General features: G+C 39.5%; 1 protein-coding gene and 1 long non-coding RNA gene across 13 annotated transcripts in view, besides 1 other annotated feature; one reads left to right on the top strand and one right to left on the bottom strand.

Moving 5' to 3' along the window:
- NCALD (neurocalcin delta) overlaps positions 1-27,894 on the top strand; it is a 438,366-nt gene that overhangs the window by 46,524 nt on the left and 363,948 nt on the right. The window lies entirely within an intron of this gene.
- LOC124901997 (uncharacterized) lies at positions 994-14,589 on the bottom strand. Its single transcript, XR_007061038.1, has 3 exons — positions 14,504-14,589; positions 12,032-12,078; positions 994-1,076 (listed from the first exon to the last, which is right to left on the bottom strand). It is a non-coding gene; the product is annotated as an uncharacterized LOC124901997 (long non-coding RNA).
- Positions 11,716-12,294: an enhancer, noted in NCBI's record as "OCT4-NANOG-H3K4me1 hESC enhancer chr8:103078318-103078896 (GRCh37/hg19 assembly coordinates)". NCBI's record gives its function as "activates a minimal SCP1, AML or CMV promoter by ChIP-STARR-seq in primed H9 embryonic stem cells {active_cell/tissue: H9 hESC(primed)}" and the evidence as "EXISTENCE:reporter gene assay evidence [ECO:0000049][PMID:30033119]".

Here is a 27,894-nt window from a genome sequence, read left to right as displayed (position 1 = left end):
GTGGTGGCTGTGTGAAAAATAGAATGTAGAGGGGCAAGAGTAGGAACAAAGAGACCAGGTAGCTGACTATTACAGTAATCCCCTTGAGAGGTGATGGCAGCTGGGATTAGGGTGGTGGCAGTGGAGCTGGCGAGAAGGGGCTGTGTAGGGATATTGCAGGATTTGTAGGTGAGTTGGGCATGGTGTGATAAAAAGAAGAGATAAATTGAGGTTGATGACTAAGTTTTGCCAGAGCAACTGGTTGCATGGGGTGGCCATTTGTAGACATGAGGGAAGACAGGGAAAGGGTCAGGATGGGGGTGAGGGAGGAGAGAAAATAAATTCATGTTTTGGACACGTTAAGTTTTGAGGTGCCTACCTGGTCTCCAAATGAATCTGTCAAGCAGCTACTTGGATATTTGAATCTGGAGCAGGGGAGAGGTCAGGACTGGAGATTAGCTAAATTTTGCCAGAGGTGTAGCTAGAATCACCCAGAGAGAGAATGTGTATAGAGCAGAGGAGGCCTGGAGCTAATCTCTGGGGTACCCCGATATCTAGAGGTGGAGATGAGGAGGAGAGCCACCAAAGAGAACCGAGGAGCAGCAGCCAGTCAGGTAAGAGGTCAAATTCCAGAGACAGTGAATTCAACTGATATCTGGCCCACCAAGGTGTAGGGCCCCTTCCAGTCTGCTGTCTGTCCTTGGCCCAATCAGTAGTCGCTAAAGGGAATGGGGGTATGAGGCCTGCTGTCTACTAAGTTTGTGGGCAGTCCAGATTTCATGAGAAGGGGAAGGGATAGGACGGGCAGGCATTCTAACACTTGCCTAAAGTATAATTTAAATTTTGCTGACAGACTGTTAAGGGATATTATTTCTCTCTCTCTATCATATCTTTCTTTTAATTTATCTCATTTTTACAGACTTTTTATTAGTTCCCTCTTAACTTTTACTTTCGAAACAATTTCAGAGGCATTTGGTACCACCAGTATCAGGATTTCTTCCTACTTTTCTGTCTTCTTTCCTTTCTTGGTCCAGCTTTTAAAGGTTTCTTTCCATGCTCCCATCCATGGACACAATGCGGCCTCCGTATTTTGAACCCTGTGGAGGAACCATAGGATGGGGTGATCATCACAGTCAGTTCTTCTCCAGGCAGTGGGGAAATGATCCTTTCAATCTGGTATGAGTTTTGTTGGAATGAACCTTTCACCCAAGTAGTGCTAAGGCATCCCAGGAGGCTCATACTAGCAATTCCACCCCACCCCCTCCACCAGCCTCTGCAAAGGAGAGACAGGGAAAGAATAGAGAACATTACTTAATTTGGGGAGTTATGTGACTAGCTGTTGATGAAGAGAGACTACATGATTTCAGGAAGGGCCTGTAAGGGAAGGGGCGTGAATGGGGAAGATGATATAGCATTGCTTCATTCTGGCCTCAAGCAGAATTCTCAATCCTAGGCCACAGGTCACTGTGCAGGTGTGAGTCACGGGTGGGCCACAGGGCCAGCAGGGTCACAAGTGTAGGCAATTGTATAAGTCTACCATCACCATTAGAAAAACAACTTCAAGTGTGTGTCATTTCAGAAGGAAGGCGTGCTATTTGCTTTAGGTAATTATACTTACCTGTAATTATTTATGTAATTATAGCTACCTGTAATTATTTAGGTAATTATAGTTACCTGTTCACCAGCATTTGGGTACATGGTTAAAGATGCAGCCAGAGAGGATTTATTCAATCCAGAAGCCTCTTAGGTGAATACAAGTATTATTTTGTGTTGGTTCCCTAGATCCTCTTTGCTGTGAGAGGATGCATTCTCTCTGGAGAGTCATTTTGAGCTTCTATTTCTCACATATAAACTGTGGAAAATAGAGTTGACTTTTTCACTCCCATGATTGAGTTTAATGGCCTTGAGATGTGGCAAATCTTATGTAGCTGCTAAAATCTTATTCCATTTCTATGTTCCCAACCTCTTGGCTTTATTTTTAGGGAGGCTTTCTGTTATAACCGGTACAGGCAGGTGGTTCAGCATCTGCCCAGGGAGAATGAGACTGATTTTTCTTCTCCGCAAGCCTGTGTGTGTCACTCATTAGCTTGACTTGGTTACTAACAATAAGTCACCTGTGTTCTCTTAGCAGACTATTTTACAAACATTTTAAAAACATTTCAAAAGTTGAGAAAAGAAAGAGGGAAAATCTTCATAACACATTTTCTTAATAAACACGTTTCATGTTTTATAATAAACATGTTATTTTTTTATTCCTTTTTGGTCTTTATACTATTTATATGTATTTTTAGAATTTTAATGATAGCATACACAAGTTTTATATTCCTTTATAATATTTCATAATAGTTTTATTTTTTACATACTATTTCATAGATTAGAATGACCATAATTTATTTGATATTCTCTTTGGGGACATTTATTTTGTTTCCAGTTTTTTGTTTGTTTTTTTTTTTGAGACAGAATCTCGCTCTGTCACCCAGGCTGGAGTGCCACGGTGGAATCTCGGCTTACTGCAACCTCTGCCTCCCTGGTTCAAGCAATTCTCTGCCTCAGCCTCCTGGGTAGCTGGGATTACAGGTGCTCACCCCCGTGCTTGGCTAATTTTTTTGTATATTTTAGAGACAAAGTTTCACCATCTTGGCCAGGCTGGTCTTGAACTCCTGACCTTGTAATCCATCTGCCTTGGCCTCCCAAAATGCTGGGATTACAGGCATGAGCTACCGCACCTAGCCAACGTGGAAACATTTTCATGAGTCTTGATTCATCTTGCCAATGTCTCTTAAGTTTATTATTAAGATTCTCCTATTGATTTAAATAAGAAGGAACCTCAGAAGGGAGAACTATAAAGGAGAAAAAGAAAACCCTAAGAGATGCAATAAATAATTATCCAGATTATTCTAATTTATCAGACCTACATAATTCTATAGTATTATACAAGCACACATTGTATAATATTATAGTATTAGACAATCCTCTGCCTTGGTACCACTATTGTCCCATCAAGTCCTGAGAAAATGAGAGAAGATTTCAATGAGAGCTGAACCTCCTGTTACATTACTATGATCCTATAGTATTATGTAAATGTAATCCTATAGTTTTATAGTTATGTTTCCATAAATATTCATGGACACATAGGGAAAAATTTCCTTTTGGTAACATCTATGAGGTTTAGACTTTTCTTGGTGTGGCACTTGCTGTGAGTTGTCTACTTGTTATATGTTCTCTTTCTTTCTTACTAAGAGAAATCTGAGTTTTTTCAGAGCAATAGGCCCCGTTAAATATTCAGTTTCTCAGTGTGTCTTACAGCTAACTGGCCAGGGGACACAGTTCTGACCAATATAAAGTAAGCAGAAGTCTGTGATGTTGTCTTTTCCCCTTCCTCCTTCCTTTTGCCTGGGATGCAGCTGTGATGCATGGAGGTGTAGCAGCCACGTTATCACCTTATGGAAAAGAAGCCATACATGAGAAGAAATGATGGAGCAGTACAACAAAGTTCCCAGCTGAATGGAATCATAATGGCCCCACCCAAAATTGATTAAAAAGTCACAGCTGAATGGAATCATAATTGATATACCCTAAATTGATTAAAAAACCACTGTTCTAGTTTATTGCATATATTTTACAAGCATCTTCAAGTTCTTTATAGAAGAAAGTAGATGTAAACCTGTATACACATCAGTAATAATATTGTGTGGAAGTAAATATGCCCACAGGAAGAGGTGGAGGATTTCCTGTGGAACCGACGTGAGAGCTGCTGATCAAGTGCAGTCAGGGTTGATGGCCATAAATCTAATTTCTGAGACTCAAAAACCAGTCAAAAAGTATACAGGTCATCAGTCTGGGTTTGGGGCACAAAAATTAAGATCTTGAAGAGAATATGGCCAACAGGAAGCTAGGTCAGTCTCCTAGGGGTTCAGAATCAGCTGTCACACCAATGTCAGGAACTTCTGAGATAAAGACTGGGAGAACTTTATAGAATAGAATGCGAGTTTGCCCAGAGGGTGGATTGCTATTAGAGAAGCAACCCACAGATACCAGACTGTACTTCTGGTGCCATTTTCCCCTTCTTAGTCCACTTGATAGCTTAACCAACCCTCTGCCTTTGTACCACTTGTCCCATCAAATCCTGAAAAAATGAGAGCAGATGTTGATGAAAGCTGGACCTTCTGTACCACATCTGATGATTGGGTGATTTTTTCCCATAGACTAGCTTCTGGCTCTGTACATTTCAAACCTTGTTTCTCCTTTGCCACTTCAGTGCTAGACACCTGAGGACTTGTTCATGTCTTCTCGCCTTGTACCGTCAGTAAATGTCACTGGGTGAATCAGCACAGTGGGTGGTAGGAACGTTCCTGAAAGTCCTATATACCATGGGACAGACAGCAATCACTTAACTACACATAGAAATGATCACAAAACTCATTAATGGTGTCCTGCAAAACCTCTAACTCGAGGTGTTCCAATTCAACTGCCAGATTCCAAAAACATCTAGTGCAACTCTGGCTACCTTATGTGAGAACAAAGGAGAACCTGTGGTGAAAAGAGACAGCAATTTCAACCAGTCGCTGTTGAAATACCTTATTAATGCAAACATTTTAAAAAATCACCATGAAGGTACAGCATTAGGACCCTGCCTAGGGCTTTCAAAGGGGCTTGTGTGCCCTCAGAAAGGGTCCTGAAGCTTAAGCTCCTGAAGCTTTATGGCAAACCCATCTTTGTACACTCCTTTTAGGAGATGTGCCAGCAGCCCATGTGATACCCTGTGGACTGCTTTGTATGCTGCTTGACAATTTGAGACAAGTAGCTTTAAAAATAATATATATTTTGTTTTGTTTTAAATTTTAGGTAATCCATGCTATAGTAAAAAAAAAAAGCATAAAATATTTTTACTGTAATTCTGCCATTTCATATAATTTCTTTCCGATCATGTTACATCTATATATAGGTATATAGGTATATCTCTCTATCTCTATATTCTCATCATCAAAAACAGGACAACTTCCAAATGTCATTTTAAAGACGAGATTTATTGTGAGCTTTCTTTTATATAATTATATGTCATGAAATATTCTTATAAAAGGGTGATATTTTATTTTATTTTTTTGAATCGGGGTCTCACTGTGTTGCCCAGGCTGCAATGCAGTGACGCGATCTTGGCTCACTGCAACCTCTGCCTCCCGGCTTCAAGCAATTCTCCTTCCTCAGCCTCCTGAGTAGCCGGGATTATGGGCGTGTGCCACCATGCCCAGCTATAAAAGGGTGATTTAAAAAATAACTTTGCAATATTCTAAATTTCCCTATTATTGGACATTTAGGTTATTTTAATATCTTTTATATTATAAATAAAGTTGTGGAAAATATCTTTCTACATACATATTTATGTGCACTTTTTATTATGTACATGATACATTCCTAGGATAAATTCCTAGAAGTGATATTACTGAGTCACAAGATATAGAAAATGTTAAGAATTTTACACATACAGATAAGTTGTTCTCCAGAAAGTCTGTATGAATTTACACTTATGAAAAAAATGTGTGAGAGTGTTTTTCTAACCCTTGCCAGAAAAATATACAATTATTTAGAAAAATCTTTCGAATGGTGTCCCATGGTTAATGCTTGTTTCTCTGATGATTGTGATACTGAAAACTTTTTGTATGTATTTTGGCTTTGTATAGCTTATGTAAATTGTCAGCTCCTTGGGCAAGAGTGTTTAATTAGATGATTTTTAATTAAGGCACTACATTTCCCAAAGTGCATAAAGCCTATTAAATGTATTATTATTATTATTATTATTTTGCTTTCTTCCATCTGTCTGCTCTCTCTCTGGCTTTTCTTCTTTTCTCTAAGTAGCGGAGGGCCCAAAGAGCTGCCCTTCACAAACTCTGTTGTTGTCTTTGTGTTAAACTTAGCCAGATGATACTGTCATTTTTGGAAGGTTGAAAAATGGTTGACTATCAGAAATTTCATGTGGTTAAACCTGATATATTTCTCTTGACAAATCTGATTTAATTTCCCTTTCTCCCTACAGCCGAATCTTTCCCCTCTTTTAAGGGTCGTTTTAAATGTGATTCTCTTGCTGAGTGCTGCCCCTCCCATCCACCCCAGCTGGAAATTCCTCACCATCATTTGATGTATGCATCTTTTTCATTCTATGATATGTGTAGTGGTATTTCATTGTGATTTTAATGAGGCATGTTGTTTTAATTCCATGATGAATAACAATATTGAGCGCCTTTTCATATGTTTAATTTCTATTTGGATATCTGCTCTTATAAAGTGCCTATTCAAGTTTTTTGCCCATTGTCTTAACAACTATAGTTTTATAGTAGGTCTTGAAGTCTGGCCGTTTAAGTCCTCCAACTTTATTTTTCTTTTTTCAGAGTTGTCTTGGCTATTTCAGATCCTTTAAATTTCCACATAATTTTCAGAATAAGCTTGTCAATTTCTACAAAACAATACCTGCTGGGGTTTTGACTGGGACTGTGTTGAATCCATAGGTCAGTTTGTGAGAATTGCTATCTTCATCCATGTTCATTGTATATCTTGCCATTTATGTAGGTCTTCTTTCATTATCTCAGCAATGTTTTCAATGTAGGGGTCTTGCATATCTTCTGTTAAATGTATTCCTATGTATTTGATTTTTTATGCCATTGTAAATGGTATTTATTGTTTTAAAATTTCGTTTTCTGATTGCTGATTGCTAGTATATAGAAATACAATTTGTTTTGGTATACTAACTCTATTTTGTTTCTCTCCTTACTTCACATATTCTTGTAGTTGTTTATAGATAGATTTCTTCAGATTTGCTAGATATATAATTATGTAACCTGCTAATAAAGGTTTACTTCTTCCTTTCTAATATGTATGCCTTTTATTTCATTTTTTAAACCTTATTGCATAACTTCTATACATTTTTCTCCCCTTCGGACTGTAAGCTGCCTGAGACAAGATGCTTTGAGGCAAAACCCTAGCATAGTGCTTTAAACATCGAAAAGGCTAAGAGAATTTTCGTTGGTTATGTAAATGATGAAGGGGAAAACAATGACATTAAAGCCTTAATTTGCTATTGTATATGATCAGTGAACCAATACCAAGAAAAAGGATACTGGTTAAAAACCATTTTTATGAGTTGATACATTTTTATTTGCAAGGATTGCCACAGGTGTGTTCAAGACTCTCCCAGGCCATTCTGCTTGGTTTGTGGTTCCTGGTTCCTGGATCCTACACTGATGTTATGTTAGTGTTCATTGCGTTCTTTTATAAGACTCTTACTAAGCATTCTGAGAATTCCAAAATAGCAGTAACTGCTTCTCCCCAGGATAGCACAGAGCAGATGGATCCCTGAACCTCATTGCCTTTGGTCCCAATTCCCCAAGCTTCTGTTGGTGTAGAAAAAAAATCTGCATTTTCAATATTGCTGGAGTGAAGCCTGGGAAGTTTTCAACTTTGAGTCTTTAAATTCCAAAAAGCAATGTTATTTTTAGATTTCTATTATACACTAGGAGTTTGTGAGTGAAGTCGTATTAAGGGGTGAGGATGAGGGCTTATGTGAATGGGTGATGGTCTTTTCCCGGTAAGCAGCCATTCTTGCCAGTTTTGAAGACACATGGGACTGTGAACTGGCTGCCCATGAGCTAAGATAACTCCCAAGGTAGGAGGAAAATAAGTGATTGGACATTGATACCTATTTTTGCATTTGGTTGCAGTAGTTATTTCTTTTTTATAGATTTCACTGTCCACATGGCTGAAAGATGCATGATGAGTTATTTTCTAAGGAGGTAATTCCATTGTTTCTTTGCAAGCTGCAGATATGCTGTTAGACATTTAAACAGTAGATTTGTAAAGTATTTAAGGCAGTTTTGACTTCATGGCCACAGGGATTGCTGTCTGGTTTTTCCAGGGAGCAGTCCCCATGAAAGAGCTAATTATGTTTTTGCTGTTGAATAGATATGGATCATCTTGAAAAAAATGAAAGTGACAGAAAATAATAGAAAAGAGAAAAATCAAAAATGAATACTCTTGTAAATTTGGATTAAATAATATAAATGCAGAGTGATAACTTTTTTCAAATATTTGAATTTTTCAAATACTTTATATATGTCGTTCTTTTAAATATTTACATATTGACATTAAAACAGTGTTCTAGAAGTAATTTTGTGACTATTATTAGTGGAATGCTTCTATTTGCCCCAATCACCTGAACTCCTACCATCTAGAAATAGTAAAATTGTTTGTTATAAAATAATTATAATTGTTATGAAATAATTACAATTACTTTTTTTTTTTTTGAGACAGAGTCTGGCTCTCTCACCCACGCTGGAGTGCAGTGGTGCCATATTGGCTCACTGCAGCCTCCATCTCCTGGGTTCAAGCAATTCTGGTGCCTCAGCCTCCTGAGTAGCTGGGATTACAGGCAAGTGCCACCACATCTGGCTAAATTTTGTAATTTAGTAGAGATGGGGTTTCACCGTGTTGCCCAGGCTGATCTTGAACTCCTGGCCTCAAGCGACCTGCCTGCCTCGGCCTCCTAAAGTGCTGGGATTACAGGCACGAGCCACCGCACCAGGCCTAATTACAATTACTTTCCAAACTTAAAAAAATATTATATATCCTGTTTGGAAATCTGCTTCTGTCATTTAACAATCTATGTTATGGGTATGTGTCCATGTCAAGAAATACAGAATTACATTATTTTAATTTAATAGCTACTTAGGATTTCTGTGTGTGTGTGCACACACATGCCCATAAAATAACCAGTTCTTTGTTGACAGATATTTTTGTTTAGGGTTTTTTCCTACTATTATAAACAATATTGCAATGGATATCCTTGTACATAAATATTGAGCATTTATCTGATTAGTTCCTTAGGATAACTCCTAGGAGTGGAATTCTAGGACTCAAATTGTACATTTTATTTTTTGATTCATATTGCAAAACATTCCTGCAGAAAATCTAAATTAATTGATACTCTCATCAGCATCAAATCAAGAGTATTGTTTACCTGCTCCATTGTCAACACTATTTGTTGTGCATCTTTAAAAATTTTATTTTATTTTTAATTGACAAATAATAATTATTTATATTTATGGGATATAATGTGATGTTATATAATGGGATACAATATGATATATGTTTACATTGTGCAAAATTAAATATAACTAATGAACATATCCATCACCTCACATATTTATCATTTTTTTTTTTGTGGTGAGAACATTTAAAGTCTCTTTTAGCAATTTTTAAATATATGATACATTATCATTAACTATTAGCCATACTGTGCAATCGATCCCTAAAACTTATTCCTTCTCTCTAACTGAAACTTTGCACCCTTTGGACAACATCTCCCCATTCTCCCATCCTCCACTCCCCTCACCCAGCCTCTGGTAACCACCATTCTACTCTCTACTTCTATGAATTTAACTTTTTTAGATTCCACATGTAAGTGAGATGATGCAGTGTATGTCTTTCTGTGCCTGGCTTATTTCACTTAGCATAATGTCTTCCAGGTTCATTTATGGTGCTGCCAATGACAGAATTTTCTTCTTTTTTAAGGCTGAACAGTATTCCACTGTGTATATAGATCACATATTAAGTATCCTGTTGTGCAAATATTTATTGAGCAAATACTATGAGCTAGACATTTAAATATAACTGTGTTCTTCCTCAAGTGTTACCCAAGAGAGGAAAAAAAAGAAGAAATATTGCAGTGCTCAAGACAGAAATGCTTTTTAAAAAGCTAGATTATTTCAGAAGTAAGAGCTAGAATGGAGGAAATCAACAGACTGGTGGAATCTAGAGGGTGTGGGCAGGGGTAGGCAGGCAACTTTAAACTGGGTAGCCAGGGGTGGCCTTTCTGGGGATTAGAAGGTGATTTCTAGGCTGACACCTGAGACAATAGCAACTCAAGCCTTGTGAAGAACAGAGGAAAGAACATTCTAGGCAGAGAAAACAGCAGGTGCAGAGGCCGTGAGGTGGGATAGAGCGTGGCCTACGCAAGAAACAGGAGAGAGGCCAGAGTGGCGTGAGCATGGGGAGAGAAATAGCGGATGCTGTGAATGAGGCTGGAGATGGAGGTAAAGGCCAGGACACCCAGAGTAGGCCGTGGAGGGAGGGGGAATTTTTTCCAGGTGCACTGGGCAGCCAAGGAGGGTTAAGTGGGGGAGCGCGAGATCTCCCTGATCACTCCTGGTCTGGTGCCTGTCAGTCGGTGTCCAGCCTCTTGATTCCTGATATGCTTCTACTGTGGTGTACTCCTGCATGTAAATACACGAAGTATTCTCTCTCTCTCACTCTCCTTTAAATATTTTGGGTTTTGGGTGGTGGTAGGTTGCAAAACTAGTTCTCATGTGTCTGTGGGTGAAACACTGGAAGACACAGCCAATTGTGTAGACCCAGACTGTTAGAACTGGAGGACTGGAAATGGAAATGCAATTCAACAGAACAGAGCGAAGGGGGAGCCTGTGAGAAAAGAGTTCTGGCATTGTGAAGCCAGTTGGAAAATAATTGTATTAGACCAGGAAAGAGAGAAGGGCAGGAAAAACAGGGCTTGGGAGAATACGACAGGGGAAGTCTGTTTGCTAGATGTGATTCAGTTTAGTTCTTTATTCTCTACCTGCTCCCACTTTTGTGGGGTGCCTGCTTCCTGCTGCAGGATAGTGAGGTGTGTTACTGCAATAATATCTGGAATGGACTCTGGGGCTACAAATTCCAGAGGGTATAAATGATACTGCTGAGGCTGCCCCACAGGTGTATGTTTAACTTTCTGAATCTGGCTTACATTCTCCCATTCTTCAAAAATTACGTTTTCTGTGGTAGCAAGAGGCAGTTATGATGATTCAGAAAGATAATGCCTACTGGTGCTTTACTAGATTCTCTTCCTGGAAAGTCCTTGCTAAAATTATGTCAAGGTCATATAAGGACAGTTTTGTGTGTGTGTGTGTGTGTGTGTGTTTGGGACAAGACTGATTCTGTATCACTTTAAAAGTATACAGTTGAAGGATGAGTAAACAACAACAGCAAGGTTAAGTGTTTGAGTAACATTGTTTCAGTGATAACTGATCTGAGTTTGATATCTTGACACAGGCTGCCACTTTGGATTCAGTTGTTGTTTTAAAATGGCTTCACATGTTTCCCTGTCACCTCAGGTGCTTCAGAGGCCAGCGTGCTAGAAGTGAGCACACATAGAAATAAGACACAGACTCAGGGTTTGCACATATAACAGGTGGACCCATTTCTCTCCATGGGTTAGGAATGGGCAATGGTTTGGGGGACTCTATTGGAGGTGGTTTGATGGGTCAAGGAGATAATTTTATCATTTCCATTTTTAGAATCTGAAAGATTTCTTTCAGTCTTCTGGAATCTTCCTTTAAAATGCAAACAATTCTGAACCAGGCCATTTTCACCCAATATCTCTGTTAGAATTAGTAGAAATGAGCTTGGAGGTAGGTGTCCAGAGGCAAATGGAGATGGGTAGAGCTTAGAGGAAGCTGGAAGGTGACCAGAGGTATGGAAGGATGACATCAAGGACAACGTCAGGCCAACTGCCTCCTTCATGAGTGGGGCTGTGCACACTCTCTTTCTGAAATGTTGTGCTTTAGTTGAAGAGTTTTCCCCAATATTTTGATTTAACATAAATTAGTGCATTTTGGTGCAAAGCCCATGCTGCTTTCCCAGAGTACAAAAAAGAATTAGGTGGAAGCTTCCTATTCAGACGTGCCCCAAGTCACGTTAACCTGTGGGCACACACCTGCCTTGCTGCGGGTTTTCCCTCTCTTCTCTAAGGGCAGGTCTTGAAAGGAAATGGATTTCACAAGTTGTATTCTTTTAAAGCTACATCACAATGGTCACTAAATAGCTATTTGTGTCATGAATGGCTGCCTCCCAGGCTATGCCTCAATCATCTTGTTCTTCGTGTATTGTCTGGGCCCAGCACCGTGCCACTCACACAGTGAGTGCCGACTGTGAGCAATGCAATAAGATTCTAGAATTACTGAACAAATGCTTGAATAACTGCTAGATGGTATTAGAGATACAAACCTTCTCTTACCTTGGGTAAAAAGCGTATGCTGATCCTGGTAGCAAATGAATAAGATCCTAGGAAATGAGAACCAGAACATAAAATATATTTCAGGAAGACTGAGTGAGGAGGGAGTGGCTCTCTTGGGGACAAAAATTATTTCTAGTTCAAAGTTATTGTGACAATTGTGGAGCACATGACCTGTGACATTTCCCTCCAGGCTTTGCCTGCCTGCCTGCCTTTTCATCAGTTCGGTATTGACTGGCCTCACCTTCCGGGGAAGTGGGGAATGAAGAAATGGCTCATTTTACTACTTGTTAGCGCTGTGAGTTGGGTCCAGGAGGGTGAAACTAATAGCTGAAAAAATCCTAAGGGTTTTCTAAAGACTTACTTATTGTCTTCTCATGAATAATTGAGAGCCATATATAGTTATAAAATCATATACAGTTATAAAATCATATATAGTTATAAAAATTGTCAAGAAACCCACAACCCACTCTTGTCTCCTTGGAAATGTGGTATGGAAATGTGCAAGAATTTTATTTATTTATTACTTTATTTTAATGTTTATTCTGGAGACAGGGTCTCGCTATGTTGCCCAGGCTGGTCTTGAACTCCTGGCCTCAAGCGATCCTCCCAGCCTCCCAAAGTGCTGGGATTACAGGTACACACCACCTTGCCCAGAGTAAAATTTTACTTTTGAGGCAGCATAGCTGTGATATTTGTAATATTAATGCCTCCAATAGCAAATTCCTGTAGCCCTGGGGAGTTTAAAATTGGGATGACGTTGGATGGAGGATGCAGGTGGTAGAGAACAAAGAAAGCTGAATTCTAAAAATGTGCAGCCTCAATGCCCTGACCTTTGTGTCTCTCGCTGCAATGTATTAAAGGCCTCTGTTTCATTTGTAAGCATTCATTCATGGAGGAATAACCTCCCAAAGGTTTGTAGCAAGCATTCCTGGGGATCTATTGGTAGCTTGGACAGAAGGCTGAGTGCCTGGAGTTGTTCACATCCCCGCTTTGCCCGCTGTCACTCTGCCCTGAGGTAACAGGCAAGCGGCTTCCTTGGGTGGTGGCGCCTGCGTATGGAGCAGTGGAAATATATGGGCAGATATGAAAAAAAAAAGAGCCTTCACTGATTCACATCAGGACCAAGTAATGTGACTTTTCAGATTAGCAGATCGAAATCTGTTGCAGCCGCTCAGCATTTCTATTTCAAGCCTGGAGAACATCTCTCCAACTGTTTCTTTCTTCTTTCTCCACTCCTGCTTCAGCCCTCAAAGCCCCTACTGCTTTTTAGCTTTTTGGTTCCTCCTGTGCTGTAGAGTCCATTGCCTGAGGTTTCTTGATTTTTTTTTTTTTTTTTTTTTTTGCCAAAGTGAGAAGAATTGTCAAATCTCGTACTCTATTGTAGGCTGGACTCCACTGAAGACATGTCAGAGAAGCAGGACTGGGGTTCCCATAAATCCTGGTTGAATGAGCAAGGGCATGAGTGGATGGGGAGACACCTAGGGAAGAGCAAAGTGCCAAAGAATAAAGCACAGCATCTAGGGTGCTTCCCGCTGATAACACTCAACTTTGCACACTGGCTCAAACATGGTGTGAAGAAAGTTTTCATTCCTGTGTGGTATGTGATTTTTGTACATTTCATATCATTAGAACACCAGGTTCATGGAGCAGCTGCTACCTGTAGACACTGCACTTGACCCTGAGCTTTCAGAGGTTAATAAGCTTTAGCTGCCATCCCCAAGGGGCTCTCTGTCGTGGAATGCTGTTTGTTTTGGACCTGCATCACTTGTAGAAGTAGAAGGGGCTCAACAAGTGTCTGAGAAAGGGAGTGAATGATGTTCATACAAAGAACGAAAGAACTGAAAGTGATTCAGCAGGTTTTATTTGTATTTGGTGTACTTGGGCCCAGTGGTGTTGTGGAGGTGTGGGGAGCCATCCATTCATTCTCCCTCAGCCTGCCTTGCCCTGGTGGCACCTGTTTCAGGGACATGGGGCTGGGTTAAAGGAGCATGTACCTGACTCGTACAAGCATCCAGTGGCCCTTCCCCTGAGCCCTGGCAGTGTTGGGGAGTGGGTGTTAGTACTCTCTCCTCTTGATGTAGATATTCCCAGAGCTCTGGGGCTGGAGGATAGATGAGGAAGGGTTAACTCCAGGGTGGTGACAGCTGAATATACAGCATAAACAGCATTTGGGGATGAGATCACTTCTGTTTTGGGAACCTGAAGGCAAACACAGTTGCATTTGTTCGTGTAATCATTGCCTTGTTTGAGGTTGTTTATGTTTAGAAATTCATGTTGGAACATTTATCAGTTGGGGCACAGAAACCAACTCTGGCTACTTAAGCCAAAAATGAATCCACTGGTAGGCCATGGAGCAGTTCCCAGGATTGAGGGAAAAGCATGAATTGTATATGGACCTGGTCTCAAAAGGAAGTGGGGCAATTCTGGGGTTCTAAATACTGGGAAATTAGGGATAGTCTTTTCGGGACTCACCTCAGGATGAAGCAGGAGCTGTTTTCCATCCTGAAGTTTTCCTGGAAGAGCAAGTTGGCTGGGTCATTCTGCCCATCCCTTTAGGTCACTAAAGGAAGTCAGGTGTGAATGCTGGGAAGGCAGAAACTGGCAGCTGTCCACCCTATGAAATGATGCTTGCTTTCTCAGGCCTCCCTCTTCCTAATCTTTCTGGTCTATTTCCTTTGAGACAGGCTTTCAAGAGTAGTTTTGAGCTTTTAGAGCATTCCTTGGGGCTGTAGTGGACATGTTGGCAACTGTGACTGGAAGAAATCATAACAGCATGGAGGCAACAGATGGAAAAATTTGAAGTTTCATTTAAATAATGATCTTAAAAAAATGTCCCTTTATCTACTTATTCCAGATCATCTGGATGATGCTTAATACCACAAGCACCTATTCCTCTATTCATTCATTTTTAGTGCATTTGGATTTTCTGGAGCATTGGTCGGTCCTGAGTTGAAATTCATTAATTGTCATGGTCTAATGAGAAAAAATAGGCTTAATTAAAAAAATGCATCTGCGTCAAGTATAGGCCAAATGATATCACAGAGTGCTGTTTTTAGAAGGGAGAAAAATGTTCGGGAAATGGGGTCTTTATGTAGCACGTGGCAGCTCAGGCATGATGAATGCAAGGGAATCTGGGCCATTGCAGTCGGCACCGTATTCAAATTGAAAGCAGCAACTTAGTTTCAGCAAAACAATATAATCCTTTACATGCCACTAATGTTATTTTGAGTTTTATTGGCTTTGCAGTTTTGGGTTTAATTAGTGCATTCATTTTATAGTGGTATGAGACTACAAGCATATAAATCATTTTGTATTTCTATATATTTAAGTGAGTTATAATAAAAATAACTGGTCAACCCTGGAGGTCCTTGAGGATTTTTTTTTCTTTAAAAGGAAAGTACCTTATTCAAGTTTTAGAAATGCTAGCCTATGGGAGATATTTGCACCCTCTCTGACCCCACCTCTATGGGAGGGGACACATGCTGGGCTTGGCCATGTGACTTGCTTTGGCCAGTGGGATATTACCTGACATGAAAGCAGAGGCTTTATAAGAGCTTGTGGATTGGCTTGGCCCCTTGTACTCCTCTCTTTCTCTAGGAGAAGATCATGTTTCAAATGCTGTTGGTTCAAAGAGGATGACAGACATGTAGAGCCTATCTGAATCCAGCTCAGTCAACCTGGATCAGCTAAACTCTAGCCAACCGACAGATCTGTGAGCAAGAAATAAGTGTTTATTGTTGTGTGAGACTGAGATTCTGTGGTTGTGTGACACACAGCATTGTTGTGGCAATAACTGGCTGATTGATGAGGTAGCCGCACCCTGGAGCATGTGAGCACAGGATTTACTGAGCACTTACTATGTGCTAGTCATTGTGGTGGGTGCTGAGGCTACAATAGTGAACAACAAAGACCAAGTCTCAGCCCTTAGGGGGCTTCCATTCTGGTGGGTGTTCAATAATTTTTGCTTGACTATTTATCTGATGAAAGCTTTATTTTTCCTTTTTTCAAAAAGGCGGACTACCTCTACTCTGACTTTTGTTGTTTGTTTTTGAGACAGCAGCTTGCTCTGTCACACAGGCTGGAGCGCAGTGGTGCGATCATAGCTCACTGTAACCTTGAACTCCTGGACTCAAGGGATCTTCTCCTCTCAGCCTCTCCTGGCCTCAAGTGATCCTCCCACCTCAGCCTTTCAAAGTGTTGGGATTACAGGCGTGAGCCACTGTGCCCAGCCAACTTCGACATTTTTGAAAAGTGAAACATATAGGTAGATGTGATCTTATCTACATATGGATTTTATATTTAACCAAAAAGTCAAGGAATAACTTGGCTAGTGATGTTGTCACCATTATCATCAAAATTGCCTTCGTTAAGGCATTTGCTTCTCTTGACTCATGTCTAGAAATGTCTAGAAAGAATATAAAAATAGATGAAAAAATAAGAACATCATCATTTTGTCTACCAATTTTGCTCTTGGTTGATTTTGCTTTATACAAAGTTTTGACTGGGTTCCATAACTAAAAATAATCTCCGTGTGTACGTGAAATTTCACCAGGGTAGATGCGCTTATATTTATGCACGGCTGAAAATTCTGCCGAGTATGGAGGTCTGTGGCGGCTGGGCTGGAATGAAAACACAGTCCTGGGAAGGGAATTTGAAAGCAGTGTTGAATACATTTAAAAATATTATTCAAATGACTGCAAAAGTTCATTTTTATGAATTTAGGACTATTGGGAATCAGCAGCAAAATTTCACATTTCTTATTTCATGGAGAGCAGGGCTGAAATGCAGCTGCATATATTATATTCAGTTCTCGGAGGCCTTAAAGCGGCAAAGCCCATTTCAGATTTAACTTGAAGGAGTTGTCTAGGCCAGTGCTGGGTAGGCAGTAACAAACAGCAGGCGGTTTGAAAAATAATCTGTTGCACTCTGGAATGCAGTGAAATTTGGAATATTTTTGCTTTGGTGACCAACTCCCTTTTGTTTAGGTCCCAAATGTCAGTGGTCCAGGGCTGCTGGGGTAACCCTATGGACACAGTCATGAAGTACTTGGATGTCCATCAGAGCCATAAAAGAGATTATCCATTCACCCTGGGGGGCTCCTACCCGTAAGTGGGTGTCTGCAGTTCTCAGAGAGAAGCTGATGCTTTCTCCCTGCTCATTCTGCAGATGGTCATTCTGTAGAGACTCAGCTTGACCCACTGTAATCTTCTGGATGGGATTCCTTGTTCTTTCTCCAGAACCTCTGCTTTATCTCACTGAGTTTTCACTTTTAGGGAGGGGAGAAAGGAATAGATTGTTTGGGTGTGGGATGTGTTGTGGGGGCGGGAGTCTGGGACATCTCTAAGTCTGAAAGAGCACGATCAAGCTAAATGGTGGAAAATGAGGAAAAGCGGCTTTTGTCGCTTTGTTTCCAGATGTAAATAATGCTGCCAAGCCATGCAGAGATGGAAGAGAATTTTAGGTATGTTTTGGAAGTGTTAACCATATTGTTTGACCTGTGTCCTCATTCTTTTAGCTGCCTTCCCACTTGCCTAGAAACAATGTTTTACTTCTGGTGAAGAAGTGAATTTTTTTTTTTGGTCTGATTGAGTTAAAGCCTGAAGTACTCGGGACACAGATGACCGATTGTAATGCGATCTTGTCAGATCTGCCCTCAAATCTGTTGAATTTTCCGTACTTGCCTGGCAGCCCTGTGCTTCCCAGGCCCACATGCTGTGGCTGATCTGTTTTAATCATCAAGCTCTGGGGCTCAGTCAAAGGAGAGGTGTTGCCATTGTCAATGGAAAAGGAATAAGCATGGGGAAACCTGAGGCTAAATGAGGGTCTGGTTCCATCAGAAATAGTTCTGTGTGGTCAGGGAAGGGAGGAAGGAAATTAGTATTTACCTAATCCTACCTCGCCCAGCCAGTGCCTGGACTCAGAAGTGAGGTCTCAGACTGGCTGTCCAGAGAAGCCAGAAGTGGTCACAACCAGAGATCCAGGGTGATCTATGCCCTAGAACATTGATTCTCAAAGTATGTTCTCTAACCAGCATCTTCTGTATCACTGGAACTTGTCAGAAATACAACTTCAGGCCGGGCGCAGTGGCTCATGCCTGTAATCCCAGCATTTTGGGAGGCCAAGGCGGGCAGATCACAAGGTCAGGAGATCAAGACCATCCTGGCTAACACAGTGAAACCCTGTCTGTACCGAAAATACAAAAAAATTAGCCAGGCATGGTGGCACATGCCTGTAGTTCCAGCTACTCGGGAGGCTGAGGCAGGAGAATCGCTTGAACCTGGGAGGCGAAGCTTGCAGTGAGCTGAGATTGCACCACTGCACTCCAGCCTGGGCGACAGAGTGAGACTCCATCTCAAACAAAAACAAAAACAAAAAAACAAAAACAAGCAAACAAAAAACTTCACGGCCGTACTCCAGACCTGCTGCATCAGACACTCTGAGGGTAGGCCCCCTGGCAGCTGTGTTTTACCAGGCCCTCTGGTGGATCCTGATGCCTGCAAAGTTGGAGAACCACAGCCCTATCTTTAGATAGTTAAAAGGCACCAAGAACCCCAAAATCTGTCACTTAAGACTGGGACAGGGAGTGGGGTGTTCAGGGCTCACCAAAGAAAAGAAGACTTTTCCCCTCCTACCTAATAGTTAACAAATTTAGCAGATAATTCTTATGAGATCATTAAATACTCAATCTTTTCCTTTCCTAAATGTTACTGTAGCATAGCAGTGATTCATGCAGTATTGTAAACCTAGAAAAATGAGTGTTTAGATCCTATTTTGATATTTTACTAATGGTTTTACATGTTTATAGCCTGATTTTGTTCATGTTTGCCTTGACGTCTTTCAGAATTCCAGTCTGTAGCTAGGAGTGTTATAAACATCCTTTCATCCATTTGTTCGTTCAAATATCAGGGACTGCCTGCTATGTGCTAGACCCTGAACTTAGATGAGAACACATGGTCTTTGCTATTAAAGATATGTAGTACAGGGAGATGATGGAGTTCTGTTTATAACAATAATCACAATATACCCACTTGAGGTGAATATATGAAGATTTGGGAGCAAAGAGGATGGATAGCCCATCAGAGAACCTTACAAGAGGATGTCCTTGGAAAGTCTTCATGGAGAAGATGATATCTGAGGAGCAGAAAGGAATGAAACATTTACCATGTAGTAGAGGTAGGAGAGAATGTTCTAGGTAAAGGGGAATACATACGGAACTATATTTGCTATAATAAACTACCACAAACTTGTAGATTAAACAATACAAATTTATAACTGTAGATCAGAAGTCTGACATGGGTCTCACTGGGCTAAAATCAAGATGTTGGCAGAGTGCATTTCTTTCTGGAGACTTTAGGGGAAAATCCCTTTTTGTGCCTTTTTCAGCCAAGAAAGGCCGTCTGCATTCCTTTCCTTGTAGCCCCCTCCTCCATCTTCAAAGACAGTGACGGTGGACAGAGTGCTTCTCACACTGACTTTTGTTTGGTTTTCTGGACTCATGTGATTAGGTTGGACCACCCTGAAAAACCTATGATAATCTACCCATCTCAAAGTCATTTATCTTAATTATAACTGCAAAGTCCTTTTTTGCCATGTGGAGAAATATACTCACAATGTTCTGAGAATTAGGCCATGGGGCATCTTCAGGGGCCATTATTCTGCAGCCACCATGGATGCCTGAGAGTGTAGACTGTCTTAGAAAGAAAAAGAAAGCCCAGTGTAACTGTGCCAAGGCCAAGAGCGAGGGAGAGAGTACAGCTGAGAAATGGAAACGGTGTGTGGCAAAATGGAACAGCGATGCTCTCAGCAGAGGTCTGAGTTTTAAAAATATCAGCAGCTGACTTAATTCTGTTGATTGACTATTTTAGAGAAGGAATTTCTTTCTTTGTGGGGGAAAAATGAATGGTGCCCACAGGGACAGGTATAGGTAAGTGGGAACATTCCATTTCTTCTTTTCCTAGTTTTTATTATTTTATTTATCTGTCTAACTCACTGACCCAGAAATTTATTGGGTAAGCCACTGTGAATGACAGGAGTTTGGGTGCAATAGATACGCTTTTCAATAAACAACTAGTCATTGAATTGTTATAGTAAAAAACTTTATATTCTCATTGCCTGAGGGGTGCATTCAGGATGGACACAGTGTCCCTGTGCGGTAAAATAATGGTAAATCTTGCTCACCTTCCTTTCTAACCATATTGTTTGACCTGTGTCCTCATTCTTTTAGCTGCTTTCCCAGTTAAAGATGACATATCATAAAAGGAGACCTTGCTGGCTGTTTTAAGTCTCCTAACATTGAAGTCTCTCAGCTGGAAAATTATCTTCCTTAGTGCTCTGGAATGCATCTTCAAATGCTCATCAGCTGATATTTATTGAATACTTTCTCTGAGCAATAGTGGACTTTAAATTGACTGTAACCTACACACCCTTTTCTGATCCAATCTCCAGCGAATATTTTATTGTATTAAAAGCTCAGATTCTAAGAGCTTAGTATTCAAGTGCTTCATGCCTCAAAAGTACCTTGAATGTGAGTAGTTTATTATTATTCAAAAATTTTTCCCTTAAAGTTTCACCCCTGGGAAAGGATAAGAGGAAAGGAAAGTTAGGCAGTGAATGTAAGATGGATCTGAGAGATAAATGTGGAGAGTGTGGAATTAAAAGAAGTAATTTTAACCCAAACTGGGAAGAATAGTAAATCATATGGTCACATAGTGAAAGCATGGGCTTTGGAAGCAGACTGACTTGAATTTAAATCCTAGCTCATCAAGGCAGGTGGAAATGTAAAATGAAACAGTTATTTTTCAGTAGACACTGGAGCATGAAAATTTTAGCAATATATATTTCTAACAGGAAAACTATAAAATACAGCCAAACATACCCAGAGACAACTTCTATTAAATACCTAGTTGTGTATTACAAACCTTCTTTGGTATACTCACAGATGTTGAGGTCGTAAGTTGAAGAAGTCTATAAATAGCACTCTTCTTTCCTGCTTGAGTTTATAACTAATTAAGAAAGAGATACAGGAGTCAGACTGATGAGAAATATCTATCTATCTATATGTACATATGTGTGTGTGTGTGTGTGTGTGTGTGTGTATGAACTAGCCAAGTAGAAGGGAGAATGTTCCAGGCAGAAGGAAAACCATGTGCGAAGGCCCAGAGGCAAGGGGAGCACGAAGAGTAGAGAAATTACAGACTTTTTGGTGTGTCTTACCATGAGGTGCCCACAAATGAGGCCAGAGGAGTAAGCAGGGGCAGATTACAAAAGGCTTTGCAGGTCACTTTAAGAGTTTTCACTTGATCATAAGGGTTGTTAGGAATGTTTGAAGGACAGCTGTCAGGGCTCTTGGTGAAAACTTTGTAGCAGTTACTGTCAGACTCCACTTTCTTCTCAATAAATGCAGAGGTTGTATCTCTAACATAAGATAAGCACTTGAAATAATGGCTGCATAGCCTGTGGTCTTGTTTCTCAGCATGAGTACTCAGTGATGTAAATCCTATTTTCATCCAGTGTTTAAGAAACAGAGTGAAGTCCTGAGCCATGAGAATTGCTCACTAACTGAGGTGCTCCAGCTCTACTGCCTGGACACAGTAGGTGTACGGCCTTAGCCTTCTTTCTCTAAAGAGACTTTAAGTCTCATCAACTGGATGGGACAGTGGAACAAGTCTTTGGTCAGACAGTGAGGGAGGGTGAAGGGGTGATAGCTCCTTGTGATTTCTCTCAGCTCAGGAAACCTGTGGCCAAGATGGAGGACTCTAGTCCATGGGACAGCCTGGCCTCCTCACCATGACCAGCCAGCTCCATGGAGAGACTCTGGATGGTTTATTCAGTTGTTCAATCGTGTATCCACCCATTCCTTCAAAAATACACTGACTGCATGTATTAGTTATTACTATTGAAATGTAGGTGTGCAAGGGTCTGTAATGAGCATTGAGGGAGGCATATATTATCGCCATTTTGCAGATCCCAAAGCTGGCACTCAGAGAAGCCAGGTGACTTCCTCATATCTTGTGGCTATTTAAAAGGGTAGGCTCAGAGTTCTGACTCGAGTTTGCTTCTCCCTAAAGCTCAGGCTCTTAAAACACACACATAAACAAGCAAAAACAAACATAAGCCCCATTGTTCTTACTAGAGAAGTTACACAAATTCTTTCTCAAAAATTGAGAAATAATGCAGTTAAATCATTCCATATGTCTTATGATATTATTTTGCCTTTTGGATAATTTCTAAGAAGTGGAATTGTTTAGTTCAAAGGTATAGAAAATGTTAAAGCTTTAGAAATGAATCTGGCGGGCTGACCTCTGGAAGAGTGCCAAGTTACCTTCCAGAAATCCATGTTATTCATTATATGACACTCTAAAAGATCACTAAGGATGTAATGAAACATACCTCTCAGTGTTTGTTTTGTGCCGACCATGAGCTCCCTGTGATGAATTTGAAGGGCTCTGTTTTGATCTATAGTAGGAGGCAGGAAAAATGAGGCTTTAAAAGTAGTTTAGTTCATCAAGACCCACTAGGAAATAAAAAGAACACAATAAGAAAGCTGAGGAAGAAATTCGATTTCAGTTTACTTCTGTTGTAATCAACTGTTCATTGTGAAATTTCACACAATTGTGTGTTTTGTGTTTAAGAGTGAGAGTGGTCCTCTTACCAACTGCCTAATGACTGACAAATATCCACCATTTGTTAATTTGGTGGAAAAAGAGTAAATCAAGCTATGTCTGAGTCAATGGACTATTCAACAGAACTGGCTAGTTCCATCAAAAGGGTTCATTTGGCACCACCATATGCAGGGTAGAAGTGCTAGAAAGAAGGCAGGCATTTTATGTAGCAAGTTGCTTAAAATAAAAACAGTGAAATGTATAGTTTTATGTCCTTAATCATAGCTAATATTTGTCAAGCACTTATATGAAGACACTGTTCTAGGGGCTTTCTTCTCTTTATGTCGTGAACGTAGGCTTTTTGCTCTGGCTGTGAGGACAACAGGTCATTTTGGGGTGGCTGGTAAGCAGGAGCAGTGGCTGCACCTCCCTAGGAGGCAATGGAGTCCCAAAGTACTAGGCATGGCCCCACCGGCTTCTTCTTCTTTTTTTTTTTTTTTCATATCATGAATGTGACTTAGGTCTCTCATTCTTGAATGATTTGAGATAGTTTTGAAATTGTCTCACCGAGTGGCGCCTTTGTGTAAATGCACTTGGCAATCATTTTGGTCCACTCAGCAGATTCCCAGTGGGTTTGGCTCTGTAGTCCTTCCGGGTTGCTCTTCTGAGGCCAGGTCACAGGATGAGTGACCTGGATATTGACAGATTGCTCCTCACAGTGGCTGCACCATCTCTACTCACACCAGCAGCCTGAGAGAGTGCCCTCTGTCCACATCTCATCGACACTGGGTGAATTTTAAGAATACCACCCCCACACCCTATCTGATGGTTCTGAGGGGACTTGTATTAGTCAGTGTTCTTCAGAGAAACAGAATCAATAAGACGTGTGTGTGGATATAGAGACAGAGATATAGAGACAGAGGAAGAAATATAGAGATAGAAATATAGAGAAAAAGATAGAGCTTATCTATCATCTATCATCTATCAATATATATCTATCATCCTATAGATCTATCTATCTATCTATAGGATATCTATCTATCTATCTATCTATCTATCTATCTATCTATCTATCTATCTATCTATCTATCGGAAGAGAAAGAGAGAGACATATCAGATGGAGCCTAGCAAGTCTGCGATCTGTAGGGCAGACCAGCAGTCTGGAGACCCAGAGAAAAGCTGATGTAGCTAAAGTCTAAAGGCGGTCTGAATTCTTTCTCGGGGGACCTCAATCTTTTCTGCCTAAGGAGTTCAACTAATTGGACAAGGCTCATTCACATTATCTTGTTTAGTCATTTATTTTTATATATTTAGGGGGTACAGGTGCAAGTTTCTTACCTGAATATACTGTGTAGTGGTGCAGTTGGCCACCCACATTATCAAGGGTAATCTGCTTTACTCTAATTTACGGATTTAAAAAGCTAATCCCATCCAAAAAAATAACCTTTACAGTGACATCTAGACTGGCGTTCGACCAAATATCTGGGTATGGTGGCTTCGTCAAGTTGACATGTAAAATTAACCATCAAGGGACACTATTCATTTTGTAAACCTCCCTGCCCCTGAGACAATGGCTTGCACATGGTAAGCATATTCAGTGCATGTGTTTCTGACTGAACGTGTGAGTGAATGACTGAAAGAAAGATTTGACTCTGCTTTTATCTTAGTTCTTTACCTGTATGGGATGCCATGAAGGTCAGTGAGGAAAATCACCATTGACATGTTCTACTATGTTAGAAAGAAAGATTTCAAACTGTGTAAGAATCACATATGTATAGATTGACATATTCTACTACGTTAGAAAGAAAGATGTAAAGCATTTCAAACTGTGTAAGAATCACATATGTATAGAACTGGGAGAGCATTCGATTTATATGTGAATAAAGAGTTAAGATTTTTTGTGCATAGTTGGGTAGCTTCCTTATATATATTTTATCTAAATTGGCAAATCAATTTTAAGACTCAGAGTCCTTAAAAATATGCATTTGTGTGTCAGTAAAAGTAAAGTAAAAATACATAAAAAATGAGAGGCCATTGAAATCCTAAAAGATTACTGATTCAAAGTCAAAGAGAAATGACATCTAATTCCTCTGGTATATGTTAGTATTACTAGGTGGTTAACGTTGCCAGCTTTGGAGCTGAATTGTCTGGGATCCTGGCTCCACTGTGTATTAGCTTCATGTCTCGGTTTGCTCCACTGTAAAATGAGAATAACAATGAGTGGCCTCACAAAGCTGCTGTGAGGATTAAATGAATCACACACGGAAAATGCTGAATCCAGTGCCTGATGTATGGTACGTGGTCAAGCGGTGTTACTCATAGCACCTCTCTTCCTACTTAACTGCTTTTTATAGCCAGTTAAGAATAGAAATGACATTTTTAAATATTCCAATTAAAAATATTTACTATTTAAATCTATATTTAAAATACCAAATACATATTTAATATCAGTATTTACATACTATTTAAACATCTCTTAATGTTGAGAGGACATATTAAATTAGATTTTAAAAAAATCAAGATTTCTTCATTAGGTCTGAATTTCATAAGACATGAAATGAGATTATGACATATGGTGAATTTTTAAACATACAGACAAAGAGTTTCTGGGCATATTGCTCTTTATATTTGCAAATTGGGAGCTTGTCTCCTTGTGGGATTCTACAGTTCACTCCAGTAGAAGGATCTGGCTCCTGTTTATATGTGACTATGAAATGTTTTGAGATTTCTTTTAGGGCAAACTCTGGCCTGTGGGCTCAGTCTGGCCCAATACTTGTTTTTGTATGACCCTCAGGCTAAGAATGGTTTTAACATTTTTAAATGGCTGGGGAAAAAATCAAAAGATGGATAATATTTCATGATACATAAAAATTACAGGAAATTTAAATTTCAATGTCCATAAATGAAATTTTGTGGGAACACAGCCACACTGATTCATTTGTGTCTTCTCTGTGGCTGTTTTTGTGCTACAACTGCAGAGCTGAGTAATTTCAACAGACTCGGAATGGCCTGCAAAGCCTAAAATATTTACTCTCTGGCCTTTACGGGAAAAGTTGGCCAGTTTCATGCCTGTTTCATTTCAAATGTGGGAAAACAAAGCCGAAGAGGTGAGATTCAGCTTTGTCCATTTTGGAAACTGTTACCAGGTTGGGGAAGAGATGGAAGTCTTTAAGGAAAATAAAGTTCCTGAATTATGTGTGGATTTAACCACTTCAAGCTCTCCTTACCTTCTAAGATAACATAAGTGAAAATACTTTTGAGAGGGAGAAGTCCTCTATGAGAGAAAGGCAGATGCCTTCAGAGTTGACACCAAAACATTGTCATGGCAGGTGGGTCTGCTGTCCAGGCAGTCAAGAGGGAGCCTGTGAATGGAGTTGTGTGATGTGTGATTTTCATTAGGTCCTAATGCATTAGATAAAATGTGCCTAACCCAGTGGGAGGGTTTTTCCTTTGGATTTCCATGCTCTTAGGATGTAATATTTTCAACTGTGTCATCAAAATTGATCTGCTGCAATTACTGAGATCTGCAGCACATGTTATCAACACATCAGAAGAACTAAGAAGCCTTTCCTTAAAAATTAAAAAAAATATTATCTTAAGCTGCCAACCATGAAATGCTTTAAAAGTAGTTCTTTGTATAACTTCATAAAGTGCTTCTGAGAGATTCTTCCCATTTACCTGGCTGTTGATAAAAACCCAAAGAACATTACATTCAGCTTCTTTGTAGATGGAAAAAGTCTGGTGGGTTTCATTCTCTGGGCAAGTCGCTGTTTGGAAATGTGCATTCTTCTGTCCATTTGAAGTTCTACTTTAGTTTTTATTGAAATTTCTTTTTCAGCATAGTTCCTTGTTATTGTTCAGAATAAATACCTTAGACGAATATCTTCCAGAAGTCTTGTGTTTTAAACATACTGAAGTAATGAAACGTGATAAACTTGGTACATTGTAGTTTGGATTTTGCATGGCACACTGTGATTTTGGACTTCTGTGTTCTGATAGCTTGGTCATGAGCTGAAAGGGTTCAAGGCTATTGCCCTTCGGAGTACCGTGCTGCTGAATAACGCAAATGTCAGCTCAGGAACATTGGAAAAGCAGCAGCAGTTGAATTAGCAGAATGTATTTGAGATTCATCCATGTAAATGAGTTTGAGATTCATTCATTCACCTTTTGTAAACCAGTTGACGAAAGAAAAGAATTATTGTGCAGAAAAGGCAGTTTTATATTTTTATAACAATGAAAAAAATGAGTAAAAAATTTTAAGAACAGTTGAGGTGAATAGGTAAATTGACAGGATTAGAAACTGTGAGAATTGCTTTGGGGAGCGCAAAGGCTACTGCGGTCCAGCCATACTGAGCTCTCAATAGGTACCACGTACTGAGACCTGTCCATGTCCTTTCCACACATTAGCTCATTGATCCTCCCTATGGCACTCTAGGCAGGAGTTACTAGCTGCATTTTGTAAATAGAACCTCAGGCACTAAGAGGTTAGATGACTTGCTTAGGGTCACACCGATCCTAGGGGTGGAGCCAGGATCCAAACCTAGCACCTGGCTCCAGAAAATCAGTGAGGCCAACTAAAATTTACAAGCAGGTCAAAACAAGACTGGGAAAAAAGGACACTATTGGGGGTTGAGAGACAGGGCAGAGAGAGTTGGCCTGGACCTCACATTCAGGCTTTGGACATTTCTTCCAAATGAGAGTATATAAACATGTATGACATTTTTTGGATGATTTTATATAAAAAAATTACTTTATATATGTTGTATATATAGCATATGCTAGATATTTTTGTATATATAAATTATATACAAAAATTTATTTATATATAAATTATATACTTATATATAAAATTAAATTAAATTAATAATCAATTAAATTAAAAATTAATTAAATTAATTAATTAAATTAAAAATGATTAAATTAATTAAATTAAAAATGATTAAATTAATTAAATTAAAAATTAGTTAATTAAATTAAAAATAAAATTATATATTTATATATAAATTATATAAAATTCATATATAAATATATACAAAAATATATAGTATATGCTATATATACAAACATAAATGGTAGAATATACTATATATACAAACATATAATGTATGCTATATAAAGTATATACTATATTAAAAATATAAATATAGTATAATTTTTGTCATCTTTTTTAGTGTGTTTAATAGAATGAGACCCTAAAAAAATTGGAAGTGCTGCATTTCTGTCTTCTCCTGAGAGGCCCTATAGCATATTATTGAAGTAATA

This window comes from Homo sapiens, chromosome 8 (assembly GCF_000001405.40).
Source record: "Homo sapiens chromosome 8, GRCh38.p14 Primary Assembly".
NCBI classification, from domain to species: domain Eukaryota; kingdom Metazoa; phylum Chordata; class Mammalia; order Primates; family Hominidae; genus Homo; species Homo sapiens.
Note: the sequence above shows the minus strand (reverse complement) of the source record. Positions and strands in the feature narration are given on the sequence as shown.